General features: G+C 42.4%; 1 protein-coding gene across 3 annotated transcripts in view; it reads left to right on the top strand.

The window, feature by feature from the left end:
• The window catches only part of BEND4 (BEN domain containing 4), a 41,803-nt gene that overhangs the window by 18,402 nt on the left and 7,451 nt on the right, over nucleotides 1-15,950 (top strand). For 2 of the 3 annotated variants that reach the window (NM_207406.4, XM_017008185.2), the window contains 2 exons: nucleotides 8,580-8,671; nucleotides 13,960-14,200. In NM_207406.4, the coding sequence (NP_997289.2) occupies nucleotides 8,580-8,671; nucleotides 13,960-14,200 (333 nt within the window). The remainder of the gene's footprint in view (nucleotides 1-8,579; nucleotides 8,672-13,959; nucleotides 14,201-15,950) is intronic. The other variant, NM_001159547.2, reaches the window with a different exon arrangement.

Here is a 15,950-nt window from a genome sequence, read left to right as displayed (position 1 = left end):
AAAACAACTACATAGCAAGATAGATTAAGTAGTGCTTGAAGGGTGAAGAGAGAAACTCTCATCAAGATTTTAATGCAATGAAAATTAGGAACTAGAGACCCAAGCACCCTTAAGATGGGCAAAACCAGAATCTGAGCAGTTTCCCCCAAGGAAAACTATTTACGAAGACCATTTCAGTAGTCTTATTTACCAGCTGCTCATACAAGACAGCACAGTCAACAGAGTCAATTAAGTGGCCTCAATGAAGAATTCACTAGACTCCCAATCTTAAAATGACAGTAGCTTACAATAGGCAATATTTATTGGATGCCCATTGCTTTACATGTATTATTTTAAGTAATCCTCACAATAACTGTATACAGTAGGTCATTTTCCCAGTTTGTTTGTTTGTTTGTTTTTTGAGACGAAGTCTCGCTCTGTTGCCCAGGCTGGAGTGCAGTGGCACTATCTCGGCTCACTGTAAGCTCCACCTCCCGGGTCATGCCATTCTCCTGCCTCAGCCTCCCAAGTAGCTGGGACTACAGGCGCCCACCACCACACCCAGCTAATTTTTTGTATTTTTAGTAGAGACGGGGTTTCACCATGTTAGCCCAGGATGGTCTCGATCTCCTGACCACGTGATCTACCCGCCTCAGCATCCCAAAGTGCTGGGATTACGGGCATGAGCCACGGCGCCTCGCCCATTTTCCCAGTTGTACAGGTGAGATCATAGAGGCTGGGAGAGGTTAAGTAACCTGCCCAGGATCACATGGTTAATAAGTGTCAGAGTCAGTACACTGAAAAATAATAGTATCCAAGAGTTACTTTAGGACTAATATCCAAGGCTTTTTTGTCAGTTAATTGGTGTCTACTAGTGTTACCATAGAATGTCTTAAAGACCCTATGTGTGTGGCTTTAAATAACATCCCTGGGGGCTTTCGTTTTCTTGAGCAGGACATCCATCTAGATATCCTGCATACCCAGTGGAACATTTGTAACCCATCCCTCTCCATGTTTACTTTGCTTAGACAATATTGTCTATTGCTGCTTAGACAGTACAGCTGCCAAGGTGGCACAGTCAACAGAATCATGTAAGTGGCCTCTGTGGATAATTCATAGACAACCAATCTTAAAATGACAATAGTTTACACTAGGCAGTATTATTGGGTGCCTTTGGCTTTACATGTATTATTTACACAAAAGACCTTCCTTATTTCCTTTCTTCCTCTTAAGTATTTTACTGTTTCCAGGATTATACAAGATGCATTTTGAGATTTTGTTACATAGAGGAGAAAAAAATTATAAATATCAATATCAGGATAGGTAGTAGGTACGTTTTAGCTGCCTTTATAGCCATTCTTCCTTGTAATAGAAGTTTCATTTTTGGTTCCTCATGTATTTTCTCATTACACCTACTAGATTCATCAGACTTTGTTCTGTAGAATGGACAAATGAATGAGTAAAACATGCCCAATGGGTCTGAAGTAGTAGTTTCACCGTGAGAGTGACTTGTTTAAAATTCCTAATTTAGGCTGGGTGCGGTGGCTCACACCTGTAATCCTAGCACTTTGGGAGGCTGAGGCGGGTGGATCACTCAGGTAAGGAGTTCCAGACCCCCCTGGTCAACATGGTAAAACTCCCTCTCTACTGAAAATAGAAAAAATTAGTGGGGCATGGTGGCGGACGCCTGTAATCCCAGCTACTTGGGAGGCTGAGGCAAGAGAATCTCTTGAACCTGGGAGGCGGAGGTTGCAGTGAGCCGAGGTCACACCATTGCACTCCAGCTTTGGCAACAGCACTGAAACTCCATCTCAATAAATAAATAAATAAATAATAAAATAAAAAATTTCTAATTTGCACGAGGAGGCAGTTGGCTGTGAAGGCCTCTGGGGGCATCAGCAGCTCCTCAACGATCCCCTGACCTCTTGCTGCTGAAAGCCAAGACTCACTCTCTCTTCCCTTGGGGGCCAAGGGAGTGGTGTGGTGGCCTGGACTCCACACAGCTACACCTGCAGCACTGGCTGCTTACCCCACCCGTGAAGGCCAGTCCTCACTCGGAAACTCCACAGTCCCCCACAGAACCTTAGGTTAACAGAACCGAGGGACACGAGGACAGGAGGTTTTCCACAATTTCCTTTTCAGTGCCCATGCACCTCCGGGCAGGCAGTGTGGTGTAGCTGTGGGTCAGGATCATAAATTTCACTCCCACTTTTCTAGACGCACCTGTCTCCGTTTTCCAGATTGACTTTTTTTTTTCACAGAAAATATTTCACTTGATTCCACAGCTTCCCTGTGTAAATCTAGGCATCTATCCAGAGAGCCCCCAGTCAAGAGTGATTTTCCAAATCCTTTGCAGCAGGCCTTGGCTGGGGGTGCTTCAAGGTCCCTGCCTTGTAGGACCAGGAGTGGGAGGATGGGAGGACATTTGGTGAAGGGAGGCACTCAGAACACCTGGGGCAGTTTTGGCTATTTTTTTTTTTTTAACAATTGACCAAATATGAGCCTTGTCTTCAGTCTTACTGGTCCTTAGCCTGTGCCCAGGTATCAATGTACAGGACCCATTTGCCTTAAATAGAGCCACCTGTGGCCAGTAAATATGCATAACACTGCATTTCCTTCCATCCTGTGTGCATCCACCGGCTTGGGTCATAGCTTAGCACTGCTGCCTAAATGTTGTGCATGGAAAGAAAGAAAGAGCCAGCCTGTAAGCCCTTCCAGGACTGTCCCCTCCACACTGAAGTAATAGCAAGGAAGGGGAGACAACGGTGATGTAGACATTTTTCAAACAACTTTTAAATTAGTATAAAACTATTATACCCACTGTAAACACTTTTTACAATTGAGTTTTTAAAAGGTCTTAACTACCCTAATCCCACAATTAAAATGTAATCATTGTTAACTATTATCGTTAACACTTTGGCTTATATTCTTTCCTATCTCTTTTCTATGCATATAATTATATTTAACATGGTCAAGGTCATGGTGAACAGTTTTATATGCTGCCTTGTAAACATTTTGGGACTTAATGTAAATTTATTTTATTTTATATATTTTAAGTTCCGGGATACATGTGCAGGATGTGCAGGTTTGTTACATAGGTAAACATGTGCCGTTGTGGTTTGCTGCACCTGTCAACCCATCACCTACGCAATAAGCTCAGCCTGCATTAGCTGTTTTCCCTGATGCTCTCACCCACTGCCCCCCCTCCCCAATAGGCCCCAGTGTGTATTGTTTCCCTCCATGTGTCCACGTATTCTCGTTGTTTAGCTCACACTTATGAGTGAGAACATGCAGTGTTTGGTTTTCTGTTCCTGCATTAGTTTGCTGAGGATAATGGCTTCCAGCTTCATCCATGTCCCTGCAAAGGCCATGATCTCTCGTTTCCTTTTTGTGGCTGCATAGTATTCTATGGTGTTTGTGCACCACATTTTCTTTATCCAGTCTATCACTGATGAGCATTTGGGTTGATTCCATGTCTTTGCTATTGTGAATAGTGCTGCAGTGAACATACACGTGCATGTATCTTTGTAATAGAATGATTTATATTCCTTTGGGTATATACCCAGTAATGGGATTGCTGGGTCAAATGGTATTTCTCGTTCTAGGTCTTTGAGGAGTTGCCAGATTGTCTTCCATAATGGTTGAACTAATTTGCTTTCCCACCAACAGTGTAAAAACGTTTCTGTTTCTCCACAGCCTCGCCAGCATCTGTTGTTTCTTGACTTTTTAATAATTGTCATTCTGATTATCATGAGATGGTATCTCATTGTGGTATTTTTTTTTTTTTTTTTTTTTGAGACGGACTCTTGCTCTGTCGCCCAGACTGGAGTGCAATGGCGTGATCTCGGCTCACTGCAAGCTCCGCCTCCCAGGTTGATGCCATTTTCTTGCCTCAGCCTCCCGAGTAGCTGGGACCATAGGTGTCCGCCACCACGCCTGGCTAATTTTTTGTATTTTTAGTAGAGATGGGGTTTCACCGTGTTAGCTGGGATGGTCTCGATCTCCTGACCTTGTGATCCGCCCGCCTCGGCCTCCCAAAGTGCTGGGATTACAGGCGTGAACCACTGCGCCCAGCCTCATTGTGGTTTTGATTTGCATTTCTCTAATGATCAGTGTTGTTGAACTTTTTTTCATATGTTTGTTGGCCACATAAATGTCTTCTTTTGAGAAGTGTCTGTTCATGTCCTTTGCCCACTTTTTAATGGGGTTGTTTGTTTTTCTCTTATGAATTTGTTTAAGTTCCTTGTAGATTCTGGATGTTAGACCTTTGTCAGATGGATAGATTGCAGAAATTTTCTCCCATTCTGTAGATTGTTTGTTGACTCTGATAATAGTTTCTTTTGCTGTGCAGAAGCTTTTACTTGGATCCTATCTGTCAATTTTTGCTTTTGTGGCAATTGCTTTTGACATTTTCATCATGAAATCTTTGCTTGTGCCTATGTCCTGAATGGTATTGCCTAGATTTTCTTGTAGGATTTTCATAGTTTTGGGTTTTACATTTAAGTCTTTCATCCATTCTGAGTTAATTTAAGTCTTTAATCCACCTTGAGTTACTTTTTGTATAAGGTATAAGGAAGGGGTATAGTTTCAGTTTTCTGCATATGGCTAGCCAGTTCTCCCAGGATTCCCTATTCTTTCCCCATTGCTTGTTCTTGTCAGGTTTTTTGAAGATCAGATGGTTGTAGATGTGCAGTCTTATTTGAGTTCTCTGTTCTGTTCCATTGGTCTGTGTGTCTGTTTTTGTACCAGTAGCATGCTGTTTTGCCTACTGTAGCCTCCAGTTGTGTTCTTTTTGCTTAGATTGTCATGGCTATATGGGCTCTTTTTTTTGTTCCATAAGAATTTGAAAGTAGTTTTTTCTAATTCTGTGAAGAATGTCAATGGTAGGTTAATGGGAATAGTATTGAATCTGTAAATCACTTTGGGCAGTATGGCCATTTTCATGATATTGATTCTTCCTATCCATGAGCATGGAATAGTTTTTCCATTTGTTTGTGTCCTCTCTGATTTTCTTAAGCAGTGGTTTGTAGTTCTCCTTGAAGAGGTCCTTCACTTCCCTTGTTAGTTGTTTTCCTCGGTATTTTATTCTCTTTGTGGCAGTTGTGAATGGGAGTTCACTCATGATTTGGCTGTCTGTTATTGGTGTATAGGAATGCTTGTTTGATTTTTGCACATTGATTTTGTGTCCTGAGACTTTGCTGAAGTTTCTTATCAGCTTAAGAAGCTTTTGGGCTGAGACAGTGGGATTTTCTAGATACAGGATCATGTTATCTGCAAACAGAGACAGTTTGGCTTCCTCTCTTCCTATTTGAATAAGCTTTCTTTTTCTTTTTTTTTGGGAGATGGAGTCTCATTCAGTCGCCCAAGCTGGAGTGCGGTGGCACAGTCTCGGCTCACTGCAAGCTCCGCCTCCCGAGTTCACGCCGTTTTCCTGTCTCAGCCTCCCGAGTAGCTGGGACTACAGGCGCCCACCACCACGCCCGGCTGTTTGTTTGTTTGTTTGTTTGTATTTTTAGTAGAGACGGGGTTTCATCCCAAAGTGCTGGGATTACGGGCATGAGCCACCGCACCCGGCCTTGAATACCCATTATTTCTTTCTCTTGCTTAATGGCACTGGCCAGAACTTTCTTTTTTTTCTTTTCTGTTTTTTTGAGACGGAGTCTTGCTCTGTCGCCTAGGCTGGAGTGCAGTGGTGCGATCTTGGCTCACTGCAAGCTCCGCCTCCCGGGTTCATGCCATTCTTCTGCCTCAGCCTCCTGAGTAGCTGGGATTACAGGCGCCCACCACCACACCCGGCTAATTTTTTGTGTTTTTTAATAGAAACGGGGTTTCACCGTGTTAGCCAGGATGGTCTTGATCTCCTGACCTCGTGATCGGCCTGCCTTGGGCTCCCAGAGTGCTGGGATAACAGGCGTGAGCCACTGTGCCTGGCCCAGAACTTTCAATACTGTGTTGAATAGGAGTGGTGAGAGAGGACATCCTTGTTTCGTGCCAGTTTTCAAGGGGAACGCTTCCAGCTTTTGCACATTCAGTATGATATTGGCTGTGGATTTGTCGTGAATGACTCTTATTATAAAAATTTTTTCATATGCGTCTTTTTGTTTGTTTGTTTTAGAGAGCGAGTGTTGCTTTGTTGCCCAGGCTTGAGTGCAGTGGCACAGTCATGGCTTGTTGCAGCCCTGAAATGCTGGACTCAAGTGATCCTCCCAGCTTATTCTGGGTAGCTGGGATTACAGGCACAGGTCACCACACCCAGCTAATGGTTTGATTTTTTTGTAAAGATATGTTCTTGCTGTGTTTCCGAGGCTAGTCTCAATCTCCTGGGCTCAAGCGATCCTCCCACCTTTGCCTCTCAAATTTTGGGATTAGAGGCATGAGCCACCATGCCTGGCAACATCTTAATGACTCTAAAATATGGGTGAGGGATCAGAAAAAAGTTCATTCAAATCCTGGTCAGTGAGTCTTTACAATTTCTCTAAAACTTCCAAGCAAAATCCAAGGTAGTACCTTGCACATGTCACTTGACAAAGCAGTGACATATGTACCCTTGCATTTTATTCTAACCATAAACTGTGAAGAACAGAATGCTGCTTTGGAGCCTCATACTCAGCACTGTGTAGAAGGGATTCATACGTAGAAAGTAAATGAAGTCCCCAAGGTCACACAATCAGTGAAAAACCCGGAACTAAAATGCAGACCTGTTTCCTGTCTCCATTTGTTTCTCAAGACTTAGGGTTTTTTCCAGCAATTAATGCTCAGTGTCAGGAGACACATTCTTCCTCACTGTGGCATCAGTAAAAAGGGTTGGACTTTTAAGAAGCTGGTGAAATTAGGGCCATTTGACAGGTTTATTGAACTTTGGTTTAATAACAGGCCTACTTCTGATACACGTGACTTATTTTGGTTGACCTCTTATTGTTCAGCAAGTGCTTCGTCAATTTGGAGAATATATCCATATAACTGTTCACAAGTGGCCACAGCCCAGGTCTGTAAGAATGATGACTATTTAAGAAAATACTTCTTTGGCAAGAAGAAAAATTTTCTAACCTACTCCTACTTCCTGTTATTCAAATTCTTCAAAAGGATGTTGAAGTAGTTTTTGATTTATTATGTTACATTGTGATGTCACCTAAAAAATCCAAAGCTATTATATTAGCATTGCATAAAATGATAATTCCTGTTTGCTATCTTAAAAAAAATGGGTGAGAAACACGAAATTTAGAAAGCTTGGTGGTGATACTTTAAAATTAGGGCTTAGGTTAAATATTTATTATTTTCTTGAACGTGACAAGAACATCTTAAGAAAACACACAGCTAAGAAATACAGTGGAAACAATTCATATAAATTAGGTTATTAACTAAGCTACCAAGACCTTTATCTTTTGTTCTTTTTGTTTTGTTTTGTTTTGTTTTGTTTTTCCTTTTTCTGGAGAACAGGGTCTCGCTATATTGCCCAGGCAGGTCTCCAACTCCTGGGCTTAAGCTATTCTCCCGCCTTTTGCCTCCCTGAGCTGGGATTACAGGTGTAAGCCACCACGCCCGGCCTAAGCTACCAAGACCTTTAAAGGCAATTAGTTACTACTCCTGAAAGGACTGTAATGTAAATCTTCAGATGTAGGCATTATTTATGTAGTGGTACAAAAAAATGTCATGCTCTATGTTAGGTTGGTATCTATTCACTTTTATTGTGATTATTCAATGAGTCTATAAGACTAAGCCTCAAAAAATAGTTTAATAGTAAAATGTATAACCAAAGGGATCAAATCAATTGAGCTTCTTTTTGGGACACTTAGGGAAGAACTGTGTGGCCAAGTGTGTATGCATTGAGAAGCAAGTCTAATTGTATGGAATTCTGCTTACTGAAGAACTAGGAATGAATCCATCATTAGAAACACTTATATTATTGATTAATAATTAGCAAAACCTTACTTTTCAGTACCTTAATTTTTAAAAGCATCATTGGGTGCTACTGCTGCAACCTGAGTCAAATAAGTCAAGACATGTCTCTTCTGTGAGTTCTTTGTGATCATGATTGTTGACCCAAATTCATCTTGGAGTAAGTTTGACTTGAAAGTTCTCAGTGAATTGTGCTGAGCCTAAAAATTCTTTCCAAACTATAGCATCTGTTCTGTATTTACAAACTGAAATAACTACGGATGTCAAATGAAAGAAGATTCTATTTCCTTTAGAAAATATTTTTTTTTTTGGAAGTTTGCATCAAAAATCTTTTTAGAGGCTGGGTGCGGTGGCTTGCGCCTGTGAACCCAGCACTTTGGGAGGCCAAAGCAGGAGGATCACTTGAGGCCAGGAGCTCAAGACCATCCTGGGCAACATAGCAAGACCCTATCTCTGCAAAAAAATTAACATAATTAGCTGGGTGCAGTGGTGCGCACCTGTAGTCCCAGCTACTGGGGAGGCTGAAGTGGGAGAATCACTTGAGCCTGGGAGTTCAAGGTTGCAGTGAGCTGAGATCACCACACTGCACTCCAGTATGGGTGCCAGTAAGACCTCTGTTTAAAAAAAAAAAAACTTTAAAAAATTTATTTATTTTCATGTTACGGGATAGCCAATGTGTAATTGTTGCCATTTCTTCCACCCAGTGCCCTGCCAGACCGTTTTAGATTACTTGAAGATGGTTCTGCAGCACCACAACCAACTCCTGATACCACAGCCAGCTGACCAGCCGACAGAGGTAGGTCTCTGGTAAAAAGGTGAATGTTCCATTTGGAATTCTCTTAAGTATCTTGATTAACTTATCAGTGTATACCAGAACAGACTGGCTAGCAAAATAGTTTTTGACTGAGGTTTATGGGTCTGTTGCCTGTAAGTATGTAATTTGTGGAGAAAGATCACGCATGTATTTAACTACAGAGATTCAGCTGCATGTACTAAGTGGGGAAAGACAGAGCTAATGACAATTTAAATAGCATGGGCAATTTTTCCACCATTCTGTTTGCACAGAGATGCCTGGAATGAGAGACACCAACTTGTCATTCCCTCAGACAGAGCCTGTGTTCCACATGCCCCTCACTCTGGGCACCTCACACACTGGGCATGATTCTTCAGTGTGCAGATAGGCATTTTCCAGAAGTCAGGGCCCCTGCACATGGGTTATTTTTTTCACCTGGACTTAAATGGAAGAAACCACAGTCTCTCCCAATCTGTAGAAGAAATGGTGTGTTTTAATAGTAATAAAGATGGTACATACTTATAAGATGTTCAAGACTCAGTTTTGAATATATGACTTTCATACGAGACTTGAGAACCATGGACAATCCCCATGAGAATCCCCTGGGGAAGCTCTCAGGTTTCCCCCAGCCTAAAAAGAAGCCTTCCTTGGATTCTCCTTCTCTTCTGCTGTCATTGCTCTCCTTTCTACTTCCATCTCCTTCCAGGCTCCCAAAGTATCCTGGGTCAGCACCTTCATTCTACACTACAGCACATCTTGCTTCTTGAAAGTTGGGCCCGGGTCTCATCTCTAGTGTCATAGAAGACACTCAATTCATGATTGCTGAATGGTGACCTCATTTTTTTCTAATGATTAAACATTTGAAAAGCTGGTCTATATTCGTTATCTTCTGTCTTTTAATTTCCATTTGCTCTTCCACCCTGTAATCTGGCTTCACTTCCACCGCTACCAGAGTTTTCTGCAAGAGGCCCCTGGTGACTCTCCAGTTGTCTGGTCCAGTGACCCTTTTTCCACTCTGGTCACCCCAGGCCCTCACCTCTCCTCCTCCGTGCTCTCTCTTGTCCTTAGCCTTAGTGTCAGTACTTTCTCCTGGTTCCTTGCCCCTCTTCCTATGACGCCTTCATGAGTTTTTCCATCTACTGTTCTCCAGAGTTCATGCTTTGTCTTTTTCTCTCACTCTCTACTGCCTTTTCTCATCAGTTATGTTTCCTATTTATTTGTTCACTTATTTTTGAGACAGGGTCTCGCTTTCTTGCCCAAGCTTGAGTATAGTGGCATGATCATGGCTCACTGCATCTTCGACCTCCCAGGCGCAGGTGATCCTCCCACCTCAGCCCCGCAAATAGCCGAGACTACAGGTGTGCACCACCACGCCCAGCTAACTTTTAGTTTTTATAGAGATGGGGTGTCACTATGTTGCCCAGGCTGGTCTTGAACTCCTGAGCTCAAGTGATTGTCCTGCCTCAGCCTCCCAAAGTGTTGGGATTACAGGCATGAGCCTGTGCCCAGTTATGTTTCTTATAACATTGACTACATGTGTGTTAACAAGTCCCACATGCATACCTAGAGCATCAGTCCCTGTGGCTTCACTGTAGACCACCGTGCCAAATACCTGGCCCACAGTGGTTTGCCCATACATCGCTTGATCTCACCACACCTATTCTGAATACCCATCTGCAGTTCCTCCTGTTTTCAGTAAAGGCCCCACCAACCCCAGGTAGAAGTTTCTGACATATCACTGACCCCCTTACTTCCTACGTCTAAGAATTCTACAGCCATGTTGAACTGCCTCTCTTTTCCTAGGTTGACTCTCTCACCTGACTATTGCAGCAGCTTCTTTCTTCTCTGTTCTCCACCCTGGAAAGTTGTTTTTTTTTTTTTTTTTTTTTTTCTGAATTACAGATCCAAAGTAAATATATGCTTAAAATCCTTTGCTCCCTAGAATTAAATCCATATTTCCTAACTTGACAATACTGTCATATAAAAAGCACCGCTGAAAAGCCCACTTCTTCCAGGAAGCTCTCCCTGACTGCCACACCCCTGCTTTGTGCCTGTGTGGCACAAAGCAGTCTAATTCAGAACTAGTTTCCTTGCTTAATAGTAAATGTACACCTGTGTCTTCCATTTGATGATGACTCTTAAGTAACCCATTAATTAAGGGTGATTTGTTCTGTTTTTTTTTCAGTGACTCAACAATAGGTCAATGTTTAATAACCTGTGGGTGGCTAATTGAAAATATACAACCAGAATTCTACAAAAATGAAAAGATAGGGGAAATATCTACATAAGACTACTTAAACTTTATGACTCATCATCATTATGACTCTTTATATTGTCATTTCAGGCACATGAGCATTTTCTCGTTTTTATTATTTATCATATTTTACTTATTAACTATGCTAAAACAGGTTTATAGATCTCATCCATAACCCAGAGAGCATTCTGAATTGTGCTTTGGGCTATAAATTGCTTTCTTTTTCTTTCCCTTTTTCTTGATGAAAATTACCTCCAAATGGTATTCCTACATTTTATGAGACCAACATTTTATGTAGAGCTGCTGCATTCAGTGGATTTTTTCAAAGGTTTTGAGAAAGCTCTTTTCCTGGATTGTCAGCTGCCAGATCACTAGTCCATCCCATCTTGAAATAGACCATTTTCAGGGGCACAGCAAAGCATCGCTTACAGGGTGAACTCTGAACTTGAGGATGGCATCCGCAGCCCCGTCCCTTTGAGTTGTGAGGCCTTGGAAATGGATTTGACCTCCTTGGTAAGATAAAGCTGTAATCCTGGCTTACCAGGTAAGCTCACTCTCCTGAGCAAAACAGCTTTTAAAAATTATATGGTGTTAAATAAACAGCTTAAAAAGCAGCTAGACAGTCTTTTTTAAGGCTGACGAATATTTACAGGGACCATAACTAAGAGGATGGTGCACGTCTCATTTTTTAAATTAAGGATGGTAGAAGTCTCCTTTTTAGTGGCTCCTCATCTATGTTGCTCTCCTTAAAGTTCTTTAACTTTGCGAATTTATATTCAGTGGTTAAAAAAAGTAAGAATTCTTCATTGTAGCCACCATTACTGGGTGTCTGCTGTGTGCCAGCCACAGAGGCCCGTGCTCTACTGCGTCAGCCATTCAGCAAATGTTTATTGCACCTGCATTGTGTGAGGAGCTGTACTCCACCCTGAGAGTCTGGCATTGAATAAACAGGTAACAGTCCCAGCCCTCATAAGCTTTTTTTCTGGTGGGAGACGGCTGGTCTCCTCACCACAAACCACCAAGCTGGGATTATCATCTGTATTTTAACACAAAGGAGCAAAGTTTAGAAAAGTCACCTGCCCAAGGCTGAACCCAGAGCCCAGCTGAGGAATAGACCTAGTACCTCCACCTGTGAGGAGAAAGGAGGGAAGTGTGCAAAGTGCTTGGGGCAGGTGCTTCGGGCTGGTCATCAGTTGCTCAATAAATGGTGACAGTTACTAAGCTTAAGCTTCCTCCGCAAAAGTACTGGTGACACAGTGAGTGGTTTTGAGTTAGCCAGCCCCCCGATTTCACCCCCGCTCCCGGCCCACCCAGCCTCCCTGAGGGCTGGGGGTCAACCATTCAGAGCCCTTAGGAGCCTGTTCCTCTCAGTGCTTGGGAAGCAATGGATTTATTTTCCCTCCTGCTGCTTTCCTCCCAGCCGTAGCCTCTGTTCCTCATTTTTGTGAAAGACACCGCTGTTTGACCTGGGGATCATCTTGCTTCCTCAGTCTCCCGTACATACCCTGGCCCATGGAATTGGTTGCCTAGCCCTCTCAGTTCGACAGCTTTCACTCCCACCTCTCTCTGTCCTGCACAGACTTGATTCAGACCTCCGTCTCTCATCTCCTGCCATGAAACTGCAACCGGGGCTGAAGGACTTTTTGGGAGCTCTGGGCCCCTGCCCATCTTTTGATTGTCTCTTATACACAGGGTCCACCACTGTACCCAGCCAAGGCTTGGCTCATGCTCCCAAATAGTCATATCTTGTACTCATGATAATTCAGTTCCTTTCAGTTGTACAGATGAGGAAACTTTGGTCCAACAACTTGAAGTAACTAGCTCGTTAGTCTAATAAGACACAGAACCAAGATTCAATTAAAACCCAGCCTGACTAAATTCAGAGCACAAACTAGGTGCCTCAGTTGCCTTCCTTAGGAAAGGAAACCACATCACGCCGTTGCTTGTTGAGGAGAGTATGAATGCTGCCGTGATGAGTCTCCACGCGCAGAACTCCGTGCCGGTTTCCTAGCCGCATCGGGCTGCCTCCCTCTTGTTGGTTCCTATGCCATTTCCCCTTCTCAGTGTTTAACTCAACAGAGCACTTTTTGAAATAAAACCCTATCAGATCCAAATGGTGCCAAATTTATAACCTGTAGTAAATTTGCCGAGTTGTAAAATGAATGAGTTTTCCCTTTGTTTTGTACACCTTAATTACTGGGGAAGGAGTATATTAAAACTAAGATCATGGGTTAATTAATTTGTCCTGGACTGTAGAATTTTATGGACAACCAGAACTAAAGTAATGGTTGTGTAGGTGCAATTGATTAAACATGGCTTATAAATGTTACGGAAATTCCCGTAATTAGTCCCACTGCAGCTATTTAGCCCGGGAATTTTATAGCAGACGTAAATTATGAAGGTGAAAAGTAAGAAAAATTTTGAGTTGACATAGTGGCATTTGCAGAAGCTATAATTTGAGGAAACCTGTTTTGCATGATTATTAGTGATTTTTTTTTTCAGTTTCCACAATTCTCCCTTCTTAAAATTTGCTTTTTAATGTTTCTGTTGTAATGCAGTGACTACCAGGTGTTGGGTGCGTTAAACACAAGTAAAACCTTATTAAAATAGATCACCAGCATCATTTCTAAAAGTACTTAAAAGTAACCAAAGAATTGAAGAGACCTGTTTGATCACACTCTTCAAAGTTTTGCATATTTTAATAGATTGAAAAGGAAAGTTACAGGTTAGATTTAAATAGTGTTCCCTGTCATTGGATCTTGACACATTTTAACCTACCTGTTAAAATGTAAGTTATAAATAGCTCCCCTTTCAAAGGTGTTCATTATACCTCATTGGCTCTTGTTATAGAAAATGCAAATGTAATTTGAAAAGTGCCCCTTCTAAGTCTGAGCAATTATTTGCGCACTTCAATACCTGGTTCATTGTCAGCATAGCCACTTGGTTAAAAAAAGCATGTTTGCCTTTGAAATGGAGATCACTTCTGCTTCTGGCTGGCTGGCTCGGTGGGTAATGAGAAAATATTTCGCTTTTCCAGGGAAGCAAGCAGCTGTTGAACAACTATCCTGTCTACATAACGAGCAAACAGTGGGATGAGGCTGTAAATTCTTCAAAGAAAGATGGGAGACGGCTCCTTCGATACCTCATCAGATTTGTTTTCACAACCGATGAGCTTAAGTACTCATGCGGCCTTGGGAAAAGGAAAAGGTCAGTGCAGTCAGGAGAGACAGGTCCCGAAAGACGCCCTCTGGATCCAGTTAAAGTAACATGCCTCCGAGGTACTGCATCCTTCCGCTCAGTGTCACCATCTGTGATCTCATTTCACCGCATTGGCTGTGGCTCTCCCCGTACAAGTGTTCAGCCTTCTGTATTTTGATTTCTTTCTGCTGAGAACGTCTAGGCTTCATGTGGCCCATCTACTCAGTCTTGAGAAGCTCTTTTAAAAACCTCCGTTTGCCTTAGCGTTGTTGTTCTCTCTTAGTGGTACATAAGCATCGCATAGCACCTCATGTTTCACGCTTCAAATTCAGATTTTCTTTGCTGCCAGAGAAGGCCACCTCCAGCAAAACTGGAGCATAGGGGAACACACAGAAGAAGGGAAGGTGTGGAAAATTTTTTTAATGGGTACAATGTTACCTCATTTCCAGTTCTAGTTTGTGTCCCCTTCTAATACCTTCTCAAGAATACTTGGCCCAACTCCTTAAATTTGTTTAGGATTAATTCTCCTTAATGCTAAAATACACCTTGCCCAGTAGAACATTTCTCTTTTGGTTAAAAAAAAAAAGTTTCTATTAAGTGTACTGCAGAGATAATACGACTTCAGCAGTATTAATAGCTGATTACTTTGCAGTTGATCTGCACTATTGTAGGCCAGGCAGAGGGGTGGGAAGGAGGAATCAGGAGGTATCCAGTTGATTCAGCAAGTGCAAATACAGACCTAGACAAATAGAAGTGTTATAGTGCCAACAAAACATTGTTCACACCTGAAAAATCCATATCAAAAAGCTCAATATTAACCTATACAGTTCAGTGGCAGTTTTATTGGCTGGAAAGACTTAATATTGATTTACTGAAATAGGGATAAAAATTTTTCCTGGTGAGGAAATCACAGTAAAAAAAAAAGCCGGATTATCACTGCTAAGGCCCTAGTTATTGGAAAGAATACTCTACTTCTGCACTCCCTCCTGAGATGCTCACAGTGATTCTGGACATTATGTGCCTAGGATGCATATGTAGTTTTTGTTAGCAGCTGAGATTCCCTAGGCCTACCCCCAGACATTCTGATTCAGAAGGGATGGGGCAGGCATGCGTGGTTCCTAGATCAAGACAACCTTAGGGGCGTATGCACACATGGCCCACGATTCAGGAAGCCACCTGAGACGAAAATGCCTGTATTTACTAGGCACAAGTGCTCCAGCACACCTCCTATTAGTTGGTCTGAATATTCCACTTACTCAGAGTGACTAAGTGGCAGAAATTTCCAGGGTCTGTCCTGCCAAACTAGCCATAGTTTTCTGTATTCCCTGACATCATCAGAGATGATGGAGTTACTCTCCAAGGGGCAGTGTTGAGCTTGGGGGCTTGACTGAGTGCCCTGTCTGTGTGTACTCAAGGGAGTTGCCTTTGGGCTTATAAAGGAGCCAAATAAGGGGTCTCATCGCTGTATCATTTTCCAGAAATTCTTACTCAACATTTTACATTTCTATAGCAAGTCAGTAGAACTGATGGATTAAAATACATCCCAGAGAACTAGTGCTGCTGCTCTGGAAACACTGCAGGAGCCACTGTCACACTGATGCCTGATGCAGTCCAGGCTGCCTAACCAGAGACTGCTGTCTCTAGCTCATTTTTCACTTAGGGCCACAATGCGTGGACCTCCATCCCGCTTTTGGTTGGGAAATACGTAGGCAAGATATGGTGATTATCTGTGTTGGAGGCAGCTGCGACAGTTCACTCTTCTGGGCATGTTAATTGCTTTTTGGTAAAATTAAATATTTAGAGGAGATAACACGTAAAAAATATTTGTCA

This window comes from Homo sapiens, chromosome 4 (assembly GCF_000001405.40).
Source record: "Homo sapiens chromosome 4, GRCh38.p14 Primary Assembly".
Taxonomy (NCBI): Eukaryota; Metazoa; Chordata; class Mammalia; order Primates; family Hominidae; genus Homo; species Homo sapiens.
Note: the sequence above shows the minus strand (reverse complement) of the source record. Positions and strands in the feature narration are given on the sequence as shown.